The following is a 23814-nucleotide window of genomic DNA, read 5'->3' on the forward strand; positions in this document are numbered from 1 at the left end:
AATATGGACTACAACTCCCGGCATGCCACACCAGGATTCGAGGACCACACGCCTCAGCCAGCCCCGGCAAGGGCCTATCAGGGGTGGGTCGGGGCATCCGAGCGGGTTTGACGGAAGGAGCGGCGGCGACGGAGGAGGAGGATGGAGGCGGTGGTGTTCGTCTTCTCTCTCCTCGATTGTTGCGCGCTCATCTTCCTCTCGGTCTACTTCGTATCCTTGCCTGAGGCAGGCGAACGCCTTGCCGGGGGACACGGCTGAGGGTGGGCCAGTTGGGCACCCGGGCAGGTGTGTGGGACTAGGGAGGCGCCCGGCGGCGGGCGTGGGCTCCCTGGGAGCTGGCCTGGCCGGGGCGGTGGCGCGGGCCCCGGAGCGGGTAGGAGAGGCTGGCTGCCCTACCCGACGGGCCCTGCTGCCCTGCACGCACTTGCCCTGCCTGGGTTGCCGGCCGCCCCTCACTCGGGTCCGAGTGGGCCTCTCCGGGCGCGCCCCGTCTCGGCCTGCCCGCCTGCTCTCCGCTCGTCCCCGCGGCGCCCGGACCAGCCCTGCCTGAGCCACGGCCGCCCTCGGGAGAGAAGCGTCGCTGTTTTTCTGGGAGAGGCCCTGCGCCGTGCTCTTCGTCGGATATTGGGGGTCCCAAGGGCGGTCGCTTGCGACAGTCGGGTGCCGGGATAAGTGCGGGCCATTTGCCTCCTCCTGTTCCCCACGCAACACCCCCGGCACCCGCCCCTTTGTTCTGGCGGGTGTTAGTACTTGCAGGGACCTTTCACATCCAGGAGTTGACTCATTCGCCAAAGGAGCGAAGTTGCTTCCTTCACTGTGCCGTTTTGTAGTGAGTGTTGGAAAGGAGTTGTTTTAACAACTGTCTACAAAGTGATTATTTTGGTTGTCCCCGGTGGTTGCAGATCTGTAAATTCAATAACTACATCTGCTGTAGTTCCCAATCGTTTCTCAGCTTTTAAATTTTTCTATCGATCCATGTTAAAACTTAAGTTGCAGTATTCAAACTGTTTTCCAGAGCAATAAATGGTGGTTGAATTTAGCACTGCAGTAGCCATGTCGGCTACAACTCTTCCCATCTCTTGACAAAGCATCTAGGCTTAGTTGTTGCCCAATGTTGTATTGCACCATCCAGGTTTAAGTAATTAAATATAAGAAAAAACGTATGAGGAACTCCGCATTTCAGCTTCCTTTCTTGGAAATCACATGTACCTGTTTCTGATCGGATTAAACCATTTGTTTGCTAGAGCATGCGGGCTTTAGGATAGTCGTACAGAGTATATGTTCAGTGCAGCTTCATTTTTCATTGTGGACTGGCATCCTGTTGTAGTGGAAAGGGACAAAATTTGGAATCAGATTTCCTGGTCAGCTAGCTCTTTGCTTGCACATTATTTCCCTAAGCCTCAGTTTTCTGATCTTTAAAATAGGAAATGTTTATTTCCTAGATATGCACAATGAGAATGGTGCTGAGCACCCTAGCACAGTGCCTGCCCCATAGCTAATGTTCAGTAAATATTGCTCTGCCTTCGTGTCCCCACCCTCCCCAATTGAGCAGCAGTTTTTACTTTGATGATATCTAACGACAAGATTTCTGAGTTTTAGTAGGTTTGGGGAGCTGATTGAAAGGGCAGCATCACTTGCCTAAGTTTTGATGACCTCTATGCCCCTCTTGTGATATAAGGAACTAGAGCAAGCTTGTCCAACCCACGGCCCACGGGCTGCATGTGGTCCAGGACAGCTTTGAATGTGGCCCAACACAAATTTGTAAACTTTCTTAAAACATTATGATTCTTTTTTGGTGATTTTTTTTTAAGTTCATCAGCTATCATTAGTATTAGTGTATTTTATGTGTGGCCCAAGGCAATTCTTCTTCCAGTGTGGCCCAGGGAAGCCAAAAGATTGGACACCCCTGAACTAGAGCTTATGCTCAGAAATGTAGCTGGGTTTTTTCTTTTTGCAGTTTGGAAAACCAGGCTTGATAATTTTAAATAGCCCTGGTTTACACCAATTTATGCATTTAGAGAAATGGTAGGTGGAATGTTTGACTTAGACATTACATTAAAATACATTCGGGGGGTGTTTTGATGAAATTCAGCATATTCTGTATTTTAGAATAGTTGCACTAACTTAGGGATAGGAGGTGGAAAATGGTCACGGTAGACTTAATATAGGATATAAGAGTTTTCTTGGACTTTGAACTGTGGACAAAATCTACAGGAAGGGGAAGAGGTGAATATTCCAAATCAGACACTGGCAAGAGCGAAGGTGCAGAGACAGGTATGTTCGTGGATTTCTGGGCTATGGTTAACGAATAGACCATCTGGAGCACATGGTTGATTTTGGCGTCAGTAGAAGGCTAAGTTGGAAAGGCAGGATTACATCAGATTTTGGAGGGCTTGAATGTTAAGGGTGGGAGGGAAGTCTTTCACTTTTATCCTGCAGGCAATAGAGAGCCATTGAAAATTTTTATTTTCGGTAGTTTATTAGGAAGATGAATCTGCCGAGTGGGTTGGAAACAAGAAAGATTGGAAGATAAACCAACTGGATAGGGTCGTCTGGATTTCAAATAGAGTGCTGGTTGTGGGCAGGTGAAAGGAGGGAATATGTGAGTAGTATTTAGAAGAAATGATTGCCAGGACCTACAAATGAGTGATTATGATATATGAAACAGAAGGCAGAGATAGCTTTCCATATTTTGATCCTGGGCAAGTGATACTTGTGTCAGTAACAGAAATAAAACAAATTGGAGGAAGATCAATCTGTGGAGAAAGTGATGAGTTTGACTTTATTTTATTTTCATGTTTATTTTTGAGACAGAGTCTCACTGTCACCCAGGCTGGAGTGCAGTGGCGCAATCTTGGCTTACTGCTGCCTCCATCTCCTGGGTTCAAGCGATTCTCCTGCCTCAGCCTCTCAAGTAACTGAGACTACAAGTGCCTACCAAATCTGCTGCTCAGACTGGAGCGCACTGGTGTGATTATAGCTCAGTGTAACGTGAATCCTGGGCTCTAGGCATTTTGCTGCCTCACCTTAGCAGTACTGCTACTAATAGCTAGCATTACAGGTGCTCATGCCCGGCTAATGAAAAAAAAAGAAAAAATTTGTAGAGATGGGGGTGAGGTGAGTGAATCACTTGAAGCCAGGAGTTCGAGACCAGCCTGGCTAACATAGTGAAACCCCGTCTCTACTAAAAATACAAAAAATTAGCTGGGTGTGGTGGTGGCGCGCACCTATAGTTCCAGCTACTTGGAAGGCTGAGGCACAAGAATTGCTTGAACCCAGGAGGCAGGGGTAGCAGTGCGTTGGAATTGCGCCACTGCACTACAGCCTGGGTGAAAGAGATGGAGGCTTGCTATGTTGCCTATGCTGATCTTGAACTCCTGCTTCAGGCGATCCTCCTGCCTCAGCTTCCCAAAGTGCTGGGATATTTCCCATTTTTTTTTTTTTAATAGCCATTGTTTTACATTTGAAGAACTCAAACTAAATGTTCTGGTTGGGTCAGATTAGATTTGAGCAAAATAGGATTATTTTGTAAAATAATTTGTTGAAGGAACATGAATGGGAAAATTGAGTTGTCTAATGAGCAAACTTTAGGAAACAACTCATTTTTTTCAAGTCAAATCTAATTCTGCCTTGTAACTGGGATTGCTTTCTGAAACTTAAATACTTAGTTATTATAAAAGAAATATAATAATTCCTTATCTTGATCATCAGATAATTACATTGTCTGATTTAGAATGTGATTACATTAATGCTAGATCATGTTGCTCAAAATTAAACAAGGTAAGACATTTCTTTGCTCATTCTCTGGCATTGAAGCCAGGTCATTTTCCATACTTAAGATTATTATAGATAACAGATGTATTTTTGATTTTAGAGTACATGTTGTCTCTTATTCATTGGAAATTTGATGGAACTGCTGTGTTTTACAATATTTTAGATCATGAAATTATGCTAGAAGATCTGACTTGAAATTTTGTTTCTTTATATGTTGCTTGTCTCTTGTTTACAGCGGATAGCATCTTTACTCAGAGTAGGGAAATGTTCATCATGAGGGTAATTGTTTTTGTCTTCTGCGTTGGAACTCCCTCCTCCCACTCACGGAAAAAAGCTCAAGTCTGTCTTTGGTTGAATGAAAGAAGACCTTTCTTGTGTAGTTTACCGAGAAAATAATTTTTTTTTAATGTATGACTCTTTATTTATTTATTTATTTATTGAGAGAGAAGGTTTCTTGCAGTGGTGATCAGGCTATTCTTGAATTCCTAGGCTCAAGTGATCTGCCTCGGCCTTCTGAGTAGCTGGGACTACAGGCGCATGCCACCATGCCTGGCTAATTTTTTTTTTTTTTTTTTTGAGATGGAGTCTCACTCTGTCACCCAGGCCGGAGTGCAGTGGTGTGATCTGGACTCACTGCAGCCTCTGCCTCCCAGGTTCAAGCGTTTCTCCTGCCTCAGCCTCCCAAGTAGCTGGGATTACAGGCACTGCCACCACACCTGGCTAATTTTTTTTGTATTTTTCATAGAGATGGGGTTTCACCATGTTGGCCAGGCTGGTTTCAAACTCCTGACCTCAAGTGATTCGCCTGCCTCAGCCTCCCAAAGTGTTAGGATTATAGGTGTGAGCCACCGTGCCCAGCCACCTGGCTAATTTTTAAATTTTTTTGTAGACTGGGTCTTGCTATGTGATCTAGACTGGCTTTGAACTCCTGGCCTTAAGCAATCCTGCTGTCTTGGCAAAGTGCTGGGATTACAGGTGTCAGCCACCATGCCTGGCCTAAGCTCCATATTTTAAAAATTTTCATAAATTTTGTTTGATTGTTTGAGGCAGAGTCTCACTCTGTTGCCCAGGCTGGAGTGCAGTGATGCGATCATGGCTCACTGCAGCCTTGACCTCCTAGGCTCAAGCGATCCTTCCACCTCAGCCTCCCATGTAGGTGGGACTACAGGTGTGTGCCACCATACCTGGCTGATTTTTAAAATTTTTTTGTAGAGACAGGGTTTCACTATGTTGCCCAGGCTGGTCTGAAATTCCTAGGCTCAAGTGATCTGCCCTCTTTGGCCTCCCAAAGTGTTAGGATTACAGTTGTGAGCCACTGCGCCCAGCCTCATGTAGCTTCTTGAGATAAGGTAACTGCCAATTAAATTTTGAGGCCTTCCATGTTTGAAAATGTCTTATCTTTACACTTGATTCATAGTTGTCAGAGTACAGGGTTCTAGGCTGGAAAAGATTTTTCTTTCAGAATTTTAAAGACACCCCTTGGTGGTCTTCTGACTTCCAGTGGTTCAAGTTGGGAAGTACCATGCCATTTTTTTTTTTTTGAGACGGAGTCTCACTCTGTTGCCTAAGCTGGAGTGCAGTGGTGCGATCTTGGCTCACTGCAAGCTCTGCCTCCCGGGTTCATGCTATTCTCCTGCCTCAGCCTCCCAAGTAACTGGGACTACAGGCGCCCACCACCACGCCCGGCTAATTTTTTTGTATTTTTTAGTGGAGACGGGGTTTCACCGTGTTAGCCAGGATGGTCTCAATCTCCTGACCTCATGATCTGCCCGCCTCAGCCTCCCAAAGAATTTCTCATCTATTCTATATGATTCTCATTCTCATTCTCTCTCTCTCTCTCTCTTTCTCTCTTTTCCTGTCCTCTATGGGAAAGTTTTAGAATCTTTATCCTTGGTGTTTTGAAATTTTACAGTGCTGTATCGCTGTGTACTTTTTTTTTTTTTTTTTTTTGAGACGGAGTCTTGCTCTGTGGCCCAGACTAGATTGCAGTGGCGTGATCTCAGCTCACTGCAAGCTCTACCTCCCCGGTTCACGCCATTCTCCCGCTTCAGCCTCCCGAGTAGCTGGGACTACAGGCGCCTGCCACCATGCCTGGCTAATTTTGTTTTTGTATTTTTAATAGAGACAGGGTTTCACCATGTTAGCCAGGATGGTCTTGATCTCCTGACCTCGTAATCTGCCCAAAGTGCTGGGATTACAGGCATGAGCCACTGTGCCTGGCCCTCTGTGTACTTTTTAAAAGGCCTTTCTTGTTTGTTTTGGACATCTGATAGGCTCTTTCAATATGGGAAATTTTCTTGTATTCTTTCTTTGATGTTTCTTCCCCATCTTTTTTCCCTCCTTCTCTTCCTACAACATCCACTAACTAGACAATTGATCTGCTGGATTGATCTGCCAATTTTTCCTTTTTCTTAGTTTTATCTCTTTGATTTTTTTTCTGCTGTTTTTATTATTTCCCTTGCTTTTTCTTCTGAATTTTCTTTTTTTCTTTTTTCTTTCTTTTTGAGATGGAGTTTTGCACTTGTTGTCTAGGCTGGAGTGCAGTGGTGCTATCTTGGCTCACTGACACCTCCAACTCCTGGGTTTAAACAATTCTTGTGCCTCAGCCTCCTGAGTAGCTGGGATTACAGGGGTGTGCCACCATGCTGGCTAATTTTTGTATTTTTAATAGAGATGAAGTCTCGCCACGTTGGCCAGGCTGGTCTCCGACTCCTGACATCAGGTGATCTGCTCTCCTCGGCCTCCCAAAGTGCTGGGATTACAGGCATGAGCCACTGCACCCAGCCTTCTTTTGAATTTTCTAACAAATGTAGCATTTATGCTAAAATGATGATTTTTAAGAGGTTTTTATTCTCTTGGTTCATGTTTGACTCCTAGTTCTCTGCGAATACTGATTATAGTATTTTTCTATTTTTTATTAAAGATAGGGTCTTTTTCTCTCATCCAGGCTGAAGTACAGTGGCACAATCATATTTCATTGCAGCCTTGAATTTCTAGGCTCAAGCAATCCTCCCGCCTTAGTGTCCCAAGTAGCTGGGACTGCAGATGTGCACCACCATGCCTGGCTGATTATAGTATTTTTGAAATTTTCTTCTGCTTCCAATATTATATCTGTTTCCATCCAGTTCTTTTCCTTTCTTTTTTTCCCCCCATCTGTCTTTGATTTTGGAGGCTTTCTTCAAATTTCTGATATATGACTGCCTATTCATATTTAAGGGTAAAGCACTAAAATGCTCATTGAAAGCTCTTTGGATGGTCTAGATTTGTTGACTGGTAGACTTCCCTGTAGGGTAATTGTTATCTACCTGGACTTTTGTTGGGGTACCTGAAATGGCGGTGTTTTGGTAGGTGTTTTTTCGAGTCATTTACTTTAGAGAAAAATCCTCCAAGTTCCTTCATGGAGGATATGAGTCTAGTGCCAGTGTACTGAGAACAAATTCGGGGAAGGGCATATCGTTAAGGAGGGAAGAGACAAAAAACAGAGGACTTGGTTGAAAGTCAGTAAACCAAGCATAATAAGGTGAAGTCTTGCTTCCTGAAACATATTTCAGGCCAGTTGCAGTGGCTGACACCTGTCCCCAGTACTTTGGGAGGCCGAGGAGGGAGAATCACTTGAGCCCAGCGGTTCGAGACCAGCTCTGGTAACATAGGGAGACTTCCTCTCTACAAAAATAAAACAAGAGGAAAAAAAAAAGAAACATGTTTCAGGTCTGTGTCTGTGTAATACAAAGATGACTGCAGCCTACAGTAAGAAATCCAGAGACTGAAGGCTATAGCTTTAGGGATCTGATATGGATCGCAGAGTATTAGTATAACATCAGCTGACATTTTATTGAGTGCCTACTTTGCATGTGGCTTACATGTTATTTCATCTAATTCTCTACAACAACTTCGTGAGGTAGGTATTATGTGTATTTTACAGATGAAAACATTGTGGCTTAGAGAGGGTAACTTTTCCCAAGATTGCACAGCTAATAAATAGGACATAGCATGAGTTCCATTCCAGGTTTGTTTGACTTTGTAGCTCATACTTGTAAGAATTATGCAATCAACTAGAACTTTCCAATATGTAATAGCATTTTAAAAAGTATAGCCGGCAGGGCGCAGTGGCTCACGCCTGTAATCCCAGCACTTTGGGAGGCTGAGGTGGGTGGATCACAAGGTTGAGAGATTGAGACCATCCTGGCCAACATGGTGAAACTCCGTCTCTACTAAAAAATACAAAAATTAGCTGGCATGGTGGCGGGCGCCTGTAGTCCCAGCTACTCGGGAGGTTGAGGCAAGAGAATTGGTTGAACCCGGGAGGCGGAGGTTTCAGTGAGCCAAGATCATGCCACTGCACTCCAGCCTGGCGACAGAGCGAAAAAAAAAAAAAAGTATAACCAAGTTGATTGCAAATTAGGTTTATGGCCCAGAAAAATCTCTACTTCTTTATTTACCAAAAAATTATCCAAAATCTAAATGCAAGAGGTCTGAGGTCATTGTGCCTGGGCTTACACTATATTGCTCTGCCATTATTTAGCTGTGTAACCTTAGGCAATTTACCTAACCACTCTGAGTTTTGTTTTCCTCATTTCTGAAAGTGAGGCATGCCAGTTTCTTTCATTAAATATTAACTTCCACTAAAAGAAGTTAACTTTAATTAAAAATCTGTACTCATAGGAAAGGAAAGCTGTTGGTGAATTGAGAACCCTGCCACAAAAGCTGTTGATGCATGAGAACTAGAACATTACACAGTCAACAAATAGCATAGGGAAGGGCATGGAGCTCTGTAAAGCCGATAGGCCAGGATTCTGGCATTCTGCTTCATTATCATATTTGGTCAACTTTGAGCTATTATTGTAAGCTTTTACATTCTTATTATTTTTTGTTTTTCTCTGAATATGAAATGGTTTCCTCGGGATTCTGGAGATTGGAAAATGTTTAACGTTGCTATTCTGACTTGAAAGGCAACATGTGTGTGGATATCAGACATCCCAAATTAGAGCTAGGGGCTTTGGCATAGATACTAGAATAGGAACTAAACAATACTCTTTTTTTCTCTAGTTCTCATTCAAATCTGCTTAATGAATGAACCTAAGCCTTTGCTTAGGATAAAAAGTAATTGAAATTTAAGTGCTTTATTTTTAAGTTGTGCCCTGATATATTTGCATGGGATACAAAGTTATAGCAGTATGCAAATCTGGGACATGGGAGTCTAAAAATAATCTTGAAACAGTAGCTTGTAAATTCTCTGTACGTTCATTGATTTAGTTTCAAATAACATGTACAGTCAGGAAGGACATAGCAGTGAGATGTAATACTGTGTTCTTCCATTGCAGTGGGTAATTCCAGAATTGATTGGCCATACCATTGTCACTGTATTACTGCTCATGTCATTGCACTGGTTCATCTTCCTTCTCAACTTACCTGTTGCCACTTGGAATATATATCGGTGAGTATAGTTTGTTTACTTTGGTGTCAAGGTAGTTAAAAAAAAATTTAAAAAGTTGTGTTTTTTTCAAGACAGGATCTTACTCTGTTACCCAGGCTGGAGTGCAGTGGTGTGATCTCAGCTCACTGCAATTTCTGCCTCCTCAGTTTAAGCGATTCTCCCACTTCAGCCTCCCAAGTAGCTGGGACTACAGGCGTGCACCACCACACCTGGCTAATTTTTGTATTTTTACTAGAGACAGGGTTTCACCATGTTGGCCCGGCTGGTCTTGAACTCCTGACCTCAGGTGATCTGCTGGTCTCGGCCTCCCAAAGGGCTGGGATTATTTATAGGTGTGAGCCAAAAAAGGTGTTTAAGAGCTTTTTTTCTTTTTTTTTGGAGATGGAGTCTCACTCTGTCACCCAGGCTGGAGTACAGTGGCTTGATCTCAGCTCACTGCAACTTCCGCCTCCTGGGTTCAAGCCATTCTCCTGCCTCAGCCTCCTGAGTAGCTAGGATTCAGGTGCCTGCCACAGTGCCTGGCTAATTTTTGTATTTTTAGTAGACAGGGTTTCACCATGTTGGTCAGGCTGGTCTCAAACTCCTGACCTCAAGTGATCCGCCCACCTTAGCCTCTCAAAGTGCTGGGATTACAGGTGTGAGCCACAGCGCCGGGCTGGAAGTACGTTTAAAAGCTGCAAATTAGGGCTGGGTACAGTGGCTCACGCCTGTAATCCCAGCACTTTGGGAGGCTGAGGTGGGTGGATCACTTGAGGTCAGGAGATCGAGACCATCCTGGCTAACACGGTGAAACCCCATCTCTACTAAAAATAAAAAAAAAAATTAGCCAGGCATGGTGGCGTGCACCTGTAGTCCCAGCTACTTGGGAGGCTGAGGTGGGAGAATGGCGTGAAGCCGGGAGGCGGAGCTTGAAGTGAGCTGAGGTCACGCCACTGCAACCAGCCTGGGCGACAGAGCGAGACTCCGTCTCAAGAAAAAAAAAAAAAAAGCTGCAAATTAGGTAACTAATCAAAATTTTTTATTTAATAAATTTAGGAAGTTTGTTCAAAATGAGCTCAATGGAAACCCTGAAGTATATAATTTTATAGTTGGGTTATTAGACATAGCATACTTTCTTGTGAAGACCGCTGGGATAATCTTGACAAGCCTGTAATTGTTATATTAGTGGGTTGCTGCTCTACTACATTTTTAGGTTTTATTTCATTTTTATTTATGTCTAGTTTTTTGGGACAGGACCATTCATTGGCTGTTTTTTAAGTATGATGTTGTAAAGTGCAGTTAGAATAAAAAGAACAGAAAAAAATAAAGTAGGGTTTGGAGGAAGATGGGATGCACATGAAAAGATAATGGCAGCAGTAGAGGTGAGGGAAGGAGTGGATATGGGGGAATGATTTTATAAAGGTCATGAAACTAGAATCTGAGTGAGGGAAAAGCTTTAAAATATCTGTGTCTCTTTTCTAGAGGGTGGGTACCCTGGGGTCGAATTTTTTGTTTTCTTTTTCATTTTTTAATATACTGAACATGGGTTCTGAATTTTTTTTTTTTTTTTAAGAGATGAAGTCTTGCTGTGTTGCTCAGGCTGGAATGCAATGGCTATTCACAGGTGTGATATAGTGCACTACAGCCTTGAACTCCTGGGCTGAAGCGATCTTCCCACCTCAGCCTCCTGGGCAGTTGGGACTGCAGGTGCACACCACCGCACCTGGCCTCTTTCAAGCTTAGTAGTACTCTCCCATGATCAGTTCCATAGACCAACGCCCTAAAGTGAGCTCTGAGCTGGGAACACAGATTACTTGCACTTCTGCTGCGGGCTAGTCCCAGACAGACTTTTAGCACAGCTAAGTCTACCTGTAGTTTCACTTAAGTGAAACACAACTTTGGGAGTGAGAATGGGGACTCGAATCTTTGAGAATGAGGATCTTAATGTTATACCAGACCATACTGTCAGTCATCTCTACTAGAAATGAAAACCTGCTAGAAGAGCCAGCTTTGGCATGGCTTCTTTGTAGATAGTGGTAAAAGGTTCTATGAAGTCAAGTCCAAAGATTCTTTTTTTAGGCCGGGCGTGGTGGCCCATGCCTATAATCCCAGCACTTTAAGAGGCTGAGGTGGGTGGATTACCTGAGGTCAGGAGTTCGAGACCAGCCCTGGCTAACGTGGAGAAACTGCATCTCTACTAAAAATACAAAAATTAGCTGGGCGTGGTGGCATGCGCTTGTAGTCCCAGCTACTTGGGAGGCTGAGGCAGGAGAATCACTTGAATCTGGGAGGCGGAGGTTGCAGTGAGCCGAGATTGCACCACTGCACTCCAGCCGGGAAACAGAGCGAGACCCAGCCTCAAAAAAACAAACAGAAACACTGGAGATTCTTTTTTAAATATAATTATAAAATAAAGACAAAGATCATGTATATTTATTGCCCTGGTAACTGCAGTGACAGGTTGGCTGTCTGCTGGTCACAAGTTTACCTTCTATTTAAAAAGGTTTAAAAAATCAACAGATAGATTATTTGCTATTTTCAGACCACTATACTTTATGCTGTTGGAGATGAAGTACAGTAGTCCACAGGACAAAGAGGCAAAATACCTAGGAGTGGAATCACTGAGTCATATAGTAACTCTATATTTAACCTTTTGAGGGACTGCCTGAGTGTTTTCAGAAGCAGCTGCACTTTTTTTTTTTTCGAGATAGAGTCTCACTCTGTTGCCTAGGTTGGAGTGCAGTGGCGTGATGTTTGCTTACTACAGCCTCGACCTCCTGGGCTCAAGCGATCCTCCCACCTCAGCCACCCAACGTGTTGGGATTACAGGTGTGAGCCAGTGTGCCCAGCCACAGCTGCACTATTTGACATTCCCATCAACTGTGTATTGGGGGTTCCATTTTCTCTACATCCTTGCCAACACTTTTTACTGTGTGTGTCTTTTTTTTTTTTTTGATATCAAAAAAATACCAAAAACTGTCTTTGATATTTTTTTCCTGCCCTAGTAGTATACAGCTGTAGAGTTCCCCTGCCTGTTATAAGCATTAATATATGTGCCTCAGCGACCATCCCACTCATGGTCTTTGGGGAATCATACCACAGCTCTCAGCTACTTTTATCCAAATTGTGCTGATCTTTCTTGGCAATAAGTAATTTAGGTGTGATGCTCATTCTCCAGTATGCTGAATGGTCTATTATGGTAAAGTTGTATCAGTCTTCTAGTTATAACGCACTGGAAGTAAGAATTAATATGAAAGATTGGCTGTCAGACACTGGAAGCCTTATATAGTCCTGTTTTAAATTATTCCTGTGTGTTTTAGAGATGAGCGCAGTGGCTCACTTCTGTAATCCCAGCACTTTGGGAGGCCGAGGTGGGAGGATCACCTGAGGTCAGGAGTTCAGGACCATCTTGGCCAACACGGGGAGACCCCATCTCTACTAAAAATACAAAAATTAGCTGGGCATGGTGGTGTTGGGCACCTGTAATCCCAGCTACTCCGCAGCCTGAGGCAGGAGAATTGCTTGAATCCAGGAGGAGGAGGTTGCGCTGAGCCGAGATCTTGCCACTACACTCCAGCCTGGGCAACAGAGCGAGATTACGTCTAAAAATAATAATAATAATAAACTAAAAAAGTATAACTGGATCGTTTGTAACACAAAGGATAAATGCTTGAGGTAATGGATACCCCGTTTACCCTGATGTGATTTTTTTTTTTTTTTTTTGAGACGGAGGTTTGCTCTTGTTGCCCAGGCTGGAGTGTGATACCGCAATCTTGGCTCATTGCAACCTCCGTCTCCCGGGTCCAAGCGATTCTCCTGCCTCAGCCTCCTGAGTAGGTGGGATTACAGGCATGCGCCACCACGCCTGGCTAATTTTGTATTTTTAGTAGCAATGGGATTTCTCCATGTTGGTCAGGTTGGTCTTGAACTCAACCTCAGGCAATCCTCCCGCCTCGGCCTCCTGGAGTGCTGGGATTACAGGTGTGAGCCACTGTGCCCAGCCTTACCCTGATGGGATTAGTACACATTGCATGCCTGTATCAAAATCTCTCATATAACCCATAAATATATATACCTACTGTGTACCCACAAAAATTAAAAATAAAACAAAAATACAAAAAGGAAAAAAAAGACAGCTAAGTAAGTGGTGGTAGGAAGAAAGACTGGACAAGGGTTTGATGGACTGGCTATGAAAGATGAGGAAGAGAGAAGTCCCAGTTGGGTAAGAGGAAGTTTTTAAGGACCACCAAGAAAATGGTGACACTCTTATTAGATAACCTAGAAATTAGACAAGGATGAGATGTTATCTGGATATTCAAATGAAAATACCCTCTATTCAGCTATAGTCGGGCTACTGGGGTTTTAAGGGAGAATTTCAGATTTGTGGAACTCAGAGAGTCCTTTGCATTTCAAAGAAGTGATAATTGAGAAGCTGTGTGACAACTAAGGTTGTACTAGAAGAAGCTTAGACGTGAGAGCAGGAAGAATTCATGGACAGTGCTAGGTTAGGACATATATGTTACACAGATGACACAGTCTGGATGTTGAAGCCCAGACACTTAAATTCATTGATCCTCTCAAAGTAACCTAACTTCCTTAATTTCCCTGTTTCCATAATGAAGTTTCTAAGAACTTAATAAAATTGGTTTGGGTTTGAAGCCTTCTTTAACCTTTGTCTAATGGAAAAGGGCTGTAGATGTGACTGGTATGGTAGTTTTCTACAGATGAGTAAAAGGGTTTCAGTGCATAAAATATCCTTTTCTGGAATGTTACTGTATTTATTTTACAGGGCAGAAGATTAACAGTATTATAACTTTCAAAAGGAAACTAAGTGGCAGCCCATGACATTATCATACTACTCTGTACATATGTGGTATGAATTTAAGGCTGCTATGATTGGCTCACTTTTTTTTTTTTTTTTTTTGAGATGGAGTTCTGCTCTGTCACCCAGGCTGGGGCTCAATGGCACGATCTTGGTTCACTGCAACCTCTGCCTTCCGGGTTCAGGTGATTATCCTGCCTCAGCTTCTCGAGTAGCTGGAATTCCAGTTGCCTGCCACCATGCCCAGCTAATTTTTGTATTTTTAGTAGAGACAGGGTTTCACCATGTTGGTCAAGCTGGTCTTGAACTCCTGACCTCAGGTGATCCACCTGCCTTGGCCTGCCAAAGTGCTGGGATTACCGGCATGAGCCACAGTACTGGGCCTGATTGGTTCACTTTTAAAAGTCGATTATTATTGGCTACTTATATTTGAATACTTATGCCTATGATTTGATTATCCTTCTAATGTGTGTATCCTTTAATTTATCAGATACATTATGGTGCCGAGTGGTAACATGGGAGTGTTTGATCCAACAGAAATACACAATCGAGGGCAGCTGAAGTCACACATGAAAGAAGCCATGATCAAGCTTGGTTTCCACTTGCTCTGCTTCTTCATGTATCTTTATAGGTGAGTTTAAAGTCCTGGTATTTTCCTAGATGCCATATTTGTTTTTGAAGGGTGAGATATTACTATACTATAGGATTTTGCATTGACATTGTGGAACTTTCGGGGATTATGTAAATTCCTTGTGGCTGTGTAGATTATTTATGTATGTCATTGAATCAGCTTTCTGTCTGAACTACAGTAGATCTACCCTGTTGCATCTTAGTTATGCCTTAGCTTTGAGGCTATCCACATGCTTAAAACAGGGCACGGTGACTTACGCCTGTAATCCCAGCACTTTGGGAGGCCGAGGAGGGCAGATCACCTGAGGTCGGGAGTTCGAGACCAGCCTGACCAACATGGAGAAACACCGACTCTACTAAAAATACAAAATTAGGTGGGCGTGGTGGCACATGCCTGTAATCCCAGCTACTTGGGAGGCTGAGGCAGGAGAATCACTTGAACCTGGGAAGCAGAGGTTGTGGTGAGCCAGGATCGCGCCATTGCACTCCATCCTGGGCAACAATAGTGAAACTCTGTTTCATATTTTTTTCCTTCCCTAGTAGTATACAGCTGTGGAGTTCCACTGCCTGTTATAAGCATTAATATATGTGCCTCAGCGACCATCCCACTCATGGTCTTTGGGGGATCACACCACTAGCAGCAGCTCTCAGCAACTTTTATCCAAATTGTGCTGATCTTTCTTGGCAATAAGTAATTTAGGTGTGATGCTCATTCTCCAGCATGCTAAATGTCTATTATGGTAAAGTTGTATCAGTCTTCTAGTTATAACACACTGGAAGTAAGAATTAATATGATAGATTGGCTGTCAGACATTGGAAGCCTTATATAGTCCTGTTTTAAATTATTCCTGTGTGTTTTAGAGGTGAACATGCCACCTTTTCCTTTATCCATCATAGATGCATAGAATAGAGCAAAGGAGAAAAAAAAATTCCTGTGTATACGATTTGATTAAACCTTTGAAAAGCTAGAAGTCAGGCTTAACCTTTGTATCAAAGCTTTAATTAGATCATTTTTATTTTTTCTCCTAGGTAGAGTTTAATTTTTCACATAGGCATAAGGACTATTAGGAAAAACTTATGTTGAAGTAAACTTCCACCACTCAGAAAATTCTTGATTAGAAACTGTATAGAGATAGCAGGGGTTTTTTTTTTGTTTGTTTTGTTTTGTTTTGTTTTTCGAGACAGAGTCTCGCTCTGTCACCCAGGGTGGAGTACAGTGGCACAGTCTCGGCTCACTGCAACCTCCACCTCCCAGGTTCAAGCGATTCTCCTGCCTCAGCCTCCCAAGTAGCTGGGACTACAGGTGCGTGCCACCACGCCTGGCTAATTTTTTTTTTTTTTTTCTATTTTTAGTAGAGATGGGGTTTCAGGATGGTCTCAATCTCCTGACCTCATGATCCGCCCACCTCGGCCTCCCAAAGTGCTGGGATTACAGGCATGAGCCACCGTGCCTGGCCAAGATAGCAGTTTTTAAAAATTGCTATTTTTTTGAAATAGTTTAGAAGTCAGAACCATTTTAGCCTCTTCCTGACAAAGCAGGCTTCCTAAAATCCCTTCACTGTGCTAAATCCACCCATTAGTGGATTAGATTAAAATTGGAGTTTAGATAGTTTTCTTTTCACCATTCATCTTATTTGCTTTTCTGTGTCTTAAAAACTAGATCAGAAAAAGCACACTGGTATCAGTTTCTGATTCTCATACCCTACCTCATTACTAATATGCTTAGTTCTTAATCCAAGTATCAAAGATGATGAATAAGGAGCAAAAAAAGTTAATGATGAGAACATAATGATGCACCTATTCTTGTTTTTAATACTTTTGTATCTTTACTGTCATATATGTTCCCTTATATTTGTTTCTGAAGAGACAAAAAACAAGCTGGAATTGGCTTAGCTAAGGTTATCCTTTCTTCATCCTCCCCACCCCTGCGGTTTCATGCTGTTGGAAAGTAAACTAGAGCAGGCATCTCCTGGGGGCGGTGCTGTAGGTACAGCCCACGTAGTCATGCTTTGCAGAGTAAATTTAGGCTTGGAGGTATCTTGCTTAGTAGACTCAAAGTCTTAGGATTTAAAAATGTACATGAGTTTCTGAACTCTTAGTCGTAGAATTTAAAGTGGTGGGGAGTGGCTGGGCTCGGTGGCTCATGCCTGTAATCCCAGCACTTTGGGAGGCCGAGGTGGGTGGATCACAAGGTCAGGAGTTCAAGACCAGCCTGGCCCAAATGGTGAAACCCCATCTCTACTAAATATACAAAAATTGGCCAGGTGTGGTGGCGGGCGCCTGTAATCCCAGCTACTCGGGAGGCTGAGGCAGGAGAATCGCTTGAACCCGGGAGGTGGAGGTTGCGGTGAGCCGATATCATGCCACTGCACTGCAGCCTGGGTGACAGAGTAAGGCTCCGTCTCAAAAAAAAAGAAAAAATAAAGTGGTGGGGAGTTGGACTGGAGGAATTAAGATGTAATTTTGGGGCAGGTTTAAGATATTGTTCTTTATAACTAAATAAAAGATAGGCAACTCATGTAACTGGTTTGCCTGGGCAGCTGTGTACTTCACTGGCTGTACAGTTTTCTTTTCTCTCTTCCCTTCCTTTCCCTTCCCTATCAGCCTGTCATTTTCAGCCACATTGCTATTACGTTACCCTTTGGTGTTACATATAGTTCAGAGGGTCAGAAGATGTCCTTGTAGCACTTTTCTCTTGGTTTTTGGTTGCTGTTTTTAAACAGTGGTTTTGCTATTACTACCAAGTCATTAGCTTTTGATTGCAGAGATTTTATGCTACTTGTCTTTGTATCTAACATCTGCCACACCTTGCCTAATACCTTGGACCTAGTTGACATTTCAGGACTTGTTGAATGGAGTTAAAGTTTTGAAAAAATGCTCATCTTCTTTAGAGAATGGGGGAATCTATGCTTTTGGTTTTTTGATTGGGTGCTAGCCTAGTGGAATGTGGGCTCTACCACTTACACTGTGGCCTGGGGCAAGTTTCGTTTCTTTTTTTTTTTTCTTTTGAGATGGAGTCTCACACTCTGTCCCCCAGGCTGGAGTGCAGTGGCATGATCTCAGCTCACTGCAGCCTCCGCCTCCCAGGTTCCAGGGATTCTCTTGCTTCAGCCTCCCGTGTAGCTGGGATTATAGGCGCACGCCACCATGCCCGGCTAATTTTTGTATCTTTAGTAGAGTCAGGGTTTCACCATGTTGGTCAGGTGATCCACCCACCTCGGCCTCCCAAAGTGCTGGGATTACAGGCGTGAGCCACCACACCCGGCCTGGGGCAAGTTTCTTAACTTGTCTGAGCCTCAGTTTCTGATCTGAAAAGGGGATATTAATGATATTAATAGTACCTACCTCATCACATTTTAATGTGGGCTGAGATAATACATGTAAGACACTTGTTTATGCTGACCCATAGTAAACTCTCAAAAATCTTTAAAAAATATTAGCTGCTATCATTAATTTTTACTGTGCATTGAGTACATTTAGTATGGTTGAATTTGGACAATTATTTATACCATAAGTGATGTAAGGATATTTTTGTGTATTTTAGGCATTTCATTTCAGCAGAGCAAGGCTGATCCCAGTATTTCAAAGGAAAGGATGGTTTTGTTATTGTTAACTGTGTCAATTTTAGTGGCGTAGCATTTATTGGGTGACTGCTGTGTGTCAGACATTGTGTACAACATTGCAAGTGACACAGAGGAGCAGCACAGAACCCCTACGGTAAAAGCTTGGAACTTGGTAATTGCAGGCCCGGTTGCTAGTAGAACATGAAAGTGGTAATGCTTGGGCCCTGCTTTCATCTCAAGAGTTGCTCATAGTCCAGTGGTAGAGACAACATGTAAGCCACAGCAGCAGGAAGAAGAGCTGTGGAAGGAGGCTGTGCAACTGCCCTGGGCTGAGAGGCCAGCTTCCCCAACGAGGTGCCCTAGAGCCAATCACAAAACCTGAGTAAGAAGTTACTGCTTTGATGGAGTGGTGGGATGGGGAGAAGAGGTTCCAGGCATAGAACAGTATGTATCTGGCTAGAGAATTTAAAGGTTTTTTTTTCTGGACATAGGTGTTTTTTGTTTTGTTTTGTTTTTTTTTAACTGAGCTAGGTTGTTTTTGTTTTGTTTTGTTTTTATTTTTTTAACTATAGCCTAACATAGGTTTTAAGTTGTACTTCCCCCAACTCCCCACCCCCAGTCACTCTTTTTTAGTGAAAAAGTTTGGACATGAAAGATCCTAATATATTCTTTCCTTTGGGTATGAATGATTGTCTTTTACTCAAATGATTGTTCCTTTGTGAACCTTAGGGACGCAAGTCTGGACAAACCAGGCTCTGTAGGAACATTCCTGAGAAAACATTAGTGACATTCATTTCTTCTTTCCACAGTATGATCTTAGCTTTGATAAATGACTGAAGCTGGAGAAGCCGTGGTTGAAGTCAGCCTACACTACAGTGCACAGTTGAGGAGCCAGAGACTTCTTAAATCATCCTTAGAACCGTGACCATAGCAGTATATATTTTCCTCTTGGAACAAAAAACTATTTTTGCTGTATTTTTACCATATAAAGTATTTAAAAAACATGAATTGAGTTTCTGTAGATTTCTAGTTCTCAACTTTAGCCTGAACGCCAACACTTGAAGGTGTTTTTCATCCTCTGTATGTTGAAGGTGGTTATTTGTATGTAGGAACAGGACTGCCATCCCAGCTTTGCATGCCAAAGAAATAAAGAACACACTTTAAAGGGCAAACTGAAGAGATGAGCGAGCAAAGGTGCCCTTCAGGTCTACTGAAAAGTTAGAGTACAAAACAACACTGTTGATCTGGACAAAAGAAGAAAAATTACCCTTTTTGCTTGTGTTGTGACAACTTCATTTAATATGGTTTAAAGATTTATGAGACTGTCAGCTAAAAGTCTTTTCACAAGAATGTCAACAGAGAATGGCATCTCAAAATATATATATTTCTTTGCACAATTTGTGAAACCTTATAAGCCATTTTCCCCAGGTACAATGTAGTTCCTGCTGATAGAAAGGAAATATTTTGTCAAGAGCTTTCATTTAAAAGCTACTACCTCCACAATCACCCCCAAACCCAGAAAATCCCCACTGGCTCTTGCCAGTCTGGTTTTCGTATTGCAGTTATTCCAATTGTATTTGATCTCCCTGATAACGTATTTTCATGGGTTTGGGTAGAAGATGCTAATCAGATTAGAAGCAGGAATAGTTATTTGCTGTCTGTGAAATTGAGCCTTTTGGTGCGCCACGTGGTGCCAGATCAACACTTCTATCCCTCTGCACTGACCACGTTGTGAACTGGGAGACCAAATGCAAGCCATTTCATGGACATAGCAATATACAACCAAACTCTGTTCCTTGGAGTTATATTGTAAACTCTTGCAGGTGGGAGAGCAGTTCACCTCCTTAGCTCTGTTTGCCAGCTCTTACAGGGTAAAATAAACCTGGCAATTTATCCTCAGTCCTAGTTTGTGGTTTAATGTTGCTATCTTAAGCACTGGCATTTGGGCAAAACATGACTGTGTTCTGTGGGAGAATCCAAAGGCATTATTCACTCTAGTTGAGATAGAATTGGGTGGCTAAACAGGGTGTGTGGTACCCAAAAGATTAAATGTTACATGTCCTTTTAGTCCTTGACCAGGTCTAGCCTTGGCAGAAGCAAGGGAGCCACTAAGCCAAACTCCCTGTGCAGACAGACCATGTTTCAAGGCTGGAAGTAGTGCCCTGGCAACACACAAAAGGAACGGTGAAATGGTAGGCAAAGTGAACTTGGCTCTGCTGGCCTCTTTGGGGTCACAGAAATTGCTCCTTGTGGTAATCTTATATTTCTGTCAGGCACAGGGCCAAGAAGCTGTGTAACAGACATTACTTTGCTTGCATCTCTTTTTCATACCTTTTCCCTCTGAGGCAGCTTTTGCTTAGAAAACAGTCCCTTCACTCTGCCTTTCCTCCTAACTTCCTGTGCCTCTTCATGTTCTGCTCAAGCTTTTTAAAGCAACGAAGCTGTTGGAGAACTTAAATCCTTGCAACTGAGAGATAAGCTACTTAAAGGCGGTAGAGATCTTTTTTTTTTTTTTTTTGAGATGGGGTCTTGCTGTGTTGCCCAGGCTGGAGTGCAGTGGTGTGATCTCAGCTCACTGCAACCTCTGCTTTCTGGGTTCAAGCGATTCTCCTGCCTCAGCCTCCCAAGTAGCTGGGATTACGGCTAGCTACTCCTGGCTAATTTTTGTATTTTTAGTAGAGATGGGGTTTCACCATGTTGGCCAGGCTGGTCTCAAACTCCTGACCTCAAACGATCTGCCTGCCTTGGTCTCCCAAAGTGCTGGGATTATAGGTGTGAGCCACTGCGCCTGGCCATGTAGATGACTTTTGACCAAAATGTTTCACCTTCTCATTCAGATATTCTTAGTAACCAAAACAGTGACTCATGCAGTTGAGAGAGCCTTTGGGCTGTCAGTTTACAGTACATCAGGCTTGCTGAGGCTAAGCAAATCAGAAAGGTGCCATGTTTATAACAGAGGTCAAAGCTCCTTACTTCTGAAACATTAGCTGTGGTTAAAAACAAAAACTCTTCCTTCTTGTATTGCTTGTCTATCAAAGCCAGGAAAGTGGGGGATCACTGTAGTTAAATTTTTTTTTTTTTTAATTAGAGACAGAGTCTTGCCCTGTCGCCCAAGCTGGAGTGCACTGGCGCAATCGTGGTACACTGCAGCCTTGAACTCCTGGACTCAAGCAGTCCTCCTGCCTCAGCTTCCCAAGTAGTTGGGAGTAGGTGCACACCACCATGCCCAGCGAATTTTTTGTAGAGACAGAGGTCTTGCTATGTTGCCTAGGCTGGTATCAAAATTACTGGCCTCAAGCGATTCTCCTGCCTCGGCCTCCCAGATGTTGGGATTACTGGTGTGAGCCACCACGCCCAGCTCAAAAACAATTTTTTTAGGGGCACTTCTACAAATCATGAAAGGGGGATAAAAGCACTGACTTTAAAAAGCCATGTTTAAGATGCTATAAATGTTCTCCCCTTTTCATTGATTGGAGAGTTGTAGAGGACCTTAGAGATCATTTTGTCTAACTCCCTCATCCCAAAGATAAACTGAGGCCTAGAGATCGTTCAGGGTGTTGTAACTGGGAACATCTGAATGCTGAGGCCTAGAGATCGTTCAGGGTGTTGTAACTGGGAACATCTGAATGCTGAGGCCTAGAGATCGTTCAGGGTGTTGTAACTGGGAACATCTGAATGCTGAGGCCTAGAGATCGTTCAGGGTGTTGTAACTGGGAACATCTGAATGCTGAGGCCTAGAGATCGTTCAGGGTGTTGTAACTGGGAACATCTGAATGCTGAGGCCTAGAGATCGTTCAGGGTGTTGTAACTGGGAACATCTGAATGCTGAGGCCTAGAGATCGTTCAGGGTGTTGTAACTGGGAACATCTGAATGCTGAGGCCTAGAGATCGTTCAGGGTGTTGTAACTGGGAACATCTGAATGCTGAGGCTTAGTCCAGTGTTCTCTCTCCCTTACCACTCCTCTTCCCCTTCCCTCTATAATGGCAGTACCCAGGGCCCGGTCCATAGACTACTATCGAGTGCTCCTATGTGCATCTTAGTACGTATCATTTTCCCTTGCCTTTTTCCTTCTATCCTTTCAGTGGTAGCAACTGCCCTTGCTAATCACCGTAACCTCGGCTGAGAAAGAAGAGGAAGCGAAATCCAAGATGCAGCTCAGTTCATCAAAGCCTAGCAGGTCCCCTCAGCTGCCTTTTCATGCCTGCCACAGACTACAGTAGGACAAAACCTGACCTGGTCTTTGAAGTTAAGAGCTAAGAAAGCTTCCTATAGTAGTATCTCCCATGGCACTTACCACATTCTATCTGGTATTACAGTTATTTGTATGCAATTAATCACTCTTAGATTGTATGTTCCTGGAGGGCAGAATATGCCCATTCATATTTGTATCTTCTTCCTTCTGCTCTTGGCACCTAACACAGTGCCTTGCACACAAACAATAAATGATTGTTGAGTGAATAAGTAAACCTGATTGTGGTGTTCTATTGCTTTTTCAGCAAGAAGTCAAACTGATGGCCTTTAAGTCAGAGAAGCAGCAATGGAGCAACATAATCAAAGTTGACCATCTTTGTTTTCAAGACAGTCACATTATGAAATATTCTGACATGCTAGGCTAGGAAATGGCTATAACTGGTTCACTTGAGACTGGAGAAATCAGCTTTGCTAACAGGTAATACTTTGTCAAGTAGTGAGAAATATTATATACTAGGTATAATTAGTTGTCCCCAAAATCTAAATAAACTTGTTCTAATATATGGAAAAGGGCAGCAAGATAGAGAAGGTAAGTTTGAAATTCTACAATATCTGGATCTTTGTCACCTGAGTTTATGTACTTTAAACCAAATATACTATTTTACTATGTAGTATAGCAAAGATTGAAATATTCTTGGTAAATGAAGCCTTTTGGATCTAAGCCATATTTTTCAGGAATTTTTGAAAAGGTAACTTTTTTTTGCTTCAGTTAAATACAGTCTAATGACTGAAGGTCATTCAAAGCTTTCGGGTTATCATTCTTCACTACAGTAATCACAATAATGGTCTGGACATGCTGAAGGGACTGTTCACTGAGCTAACTTGGTTCTGAGCTCAGGTGCTCTTTAATAAGTTCTTGGGTAAAGGCTGCTTTTATTTTTAATTGCTTCCCTCTGAAGCTGGGTGGAGAAGAGTGAGTGGGTGGGTGGTCGGAATCAGCAGGCTGAGAGAGAACTCAGTGGTTTGCCTGTGGCTTCCTCTGCTGTATATTTGGTTTGCTACATCCGTTATGGAGCAATCTTGGTTTCATCTATATCAGTTCCCATTAAACGTTAGCACCTAGTTAGAATGTGAGTTAGTTGAACATACACTTTAATTCCTGTTTTCTAGATCTTATTTCACAGGTTGGATGCAAACTGGGTGAGAATTGAACCTCTCGTGTTGCTTAATTAAAAGTAACACATTTGACTGCCACTGGTATCTATCAGAAAGAGACCTGTGGAGCAGGTTGAATCCTCTGGGGTAGCTTTATATAAATTTGCCAACTTTCTGGGACAGAGTAATAGGATTTACCCGTGTTAGTTGGTAATTTTCTATTTTACCAGGTACAATAATCAACTTACGGTCATACTTGCTGATT

At 43.0% G+C, this 23814-nt stretch overlaps 1 protein-coding gene across 8 annotated transcripts, besides 5 other annotated features; it reads left to right on the forward strand.

The window, feature by feature from the left end:
* The first annotated feature begins 19 nt into the window (after positions 1 to 19).
* CNIH4 (cornichon family member 4) lies at positions 20 to 22669 on the forward strand. 8 transcript variants are annotated; one of them, NM_014184.4, is made up of 5 exons: positions 96 to 210; positions 3712 to 3780; positions 9096 to 9208; positions 14500 to 14640; positions 19012 to 22669. In NM_014184.4, the coding sequence occupies exons 1-5, from the start codon at positions 142 to 144 to the stop codon at positions 19037 to 19039; spliced, it is 420 nt and encodes a 139-aa protein (NP_054903.1). In that variant the 5' UTR covers positions 96 to 141; the 3' UTR covers positions 19040 to 22669. The 8 variants fall into 8 exon arrangements, 7 of the variants coding, with proteins under 7 accessions (XP_047274576.1, NP_054903.1, NP_001264129.1 ...); NM_001277200.2 differs by having other exon boundaries at positions 22286 to 22669; NM_001277198.2 differs by having other exon boundaries at positions 14547 to 14640.
* Positions 169 to 538: a silencer, noted in NCBI's record as "silent region_1852". NCBI's record gives its function as "represses an Ori minimal core promoter by ATAC-STARR-seq in GM12878 lymphoblastoid cells {active_cell/tissue: GM12878}" and the evidence as "EXISTENCE:reporter gene assay evidence [ECO:0000049][PMID:35858748]".
* Positions 169 to 946: a biological region, named in NCBI's record as "H3K27ac hESC enhancer GRCh37_chr1:224544931-224545431".
* Positions 446 to 946: an enhancer, noted in NCBI's record as "H3K27ac hESC enhancer chr1:224544931-224545431 (GRCh37/hg19 assembly coordinates)". NCBI's record gives its function as "activates a minimal SCP1, AML or CMV promoter by ChIP-STARR-seq in primed H9 embryonic stem cells {active_cell/tissue: H9 hESC(primed)}" and the evidence as "EXISTENCE:reporter gene assay evidence [ECO:0000049][PMID:30033119]".
* Positions 20764 to 20813: an enhancer, noted in NCBI's record as "active region_2610". NCBI's record gives its function as "activates an Ori minimal core promoter by ATAC-STARR-seq in GM12878 lymphoblastoid cells {active_cell/tissue: GM12878}" and the evidence as "EXISTENCE:reporter gene assay evidence [ECO:0000049][PMID:35858748]".
* Positions 21184 to 21273: an enhancer, noted in NCBI's record as "active region_2611". NCBI's record gives its function as "activates an Ori minimal core promoter by ATAC-STARR-seq in GM12878 lymphoblastoid cells {active_cell/tissue: GM12878}" and the evidence as "EXISTENCE:reporter gene assay evidence [ECO:0000049][PMID:35858748]".
* Positions 22670 to 23814: the final 1145 nt, after the last annotated feature.

Source organism: Homo sapiens, chromosome 1, assembly GCF_000001405.40.
Source record: "Homo sapiens chromosome 1, GRCh38.p14 Primary Assembly".
Lineage (NCBI taxonomy): Eukaryota > Metazoa > Chordata > Mammalia > Primates > Hominidae > Homo > Homo sapiens.

Excerpts from the sequence above, each read along its gene's own strand:
- CNIH4 (NM_014184.4), top strand. The coding sequence starts at position 142 with ATGGAGGCGGTGGTGTTCGTCTTCTCTCTCCTCGATTGTTGCGCGCTC. Across the intron at positions 211-3,711 it reads TCTTCCTCTCGGTCTACTTC|ATAATTACATTGTCTGATTT; the intron begins GTATCCTTGCCT and ends CTTGATCATCAG. Across the intron at positions 14,641-19,011 it reads TTCTTCATGTATCTTTATAG|TATGATCTTAGCTTTGATAA; the intron begins GTGAGTTTAAAG and ends TTCTTTCCACAG.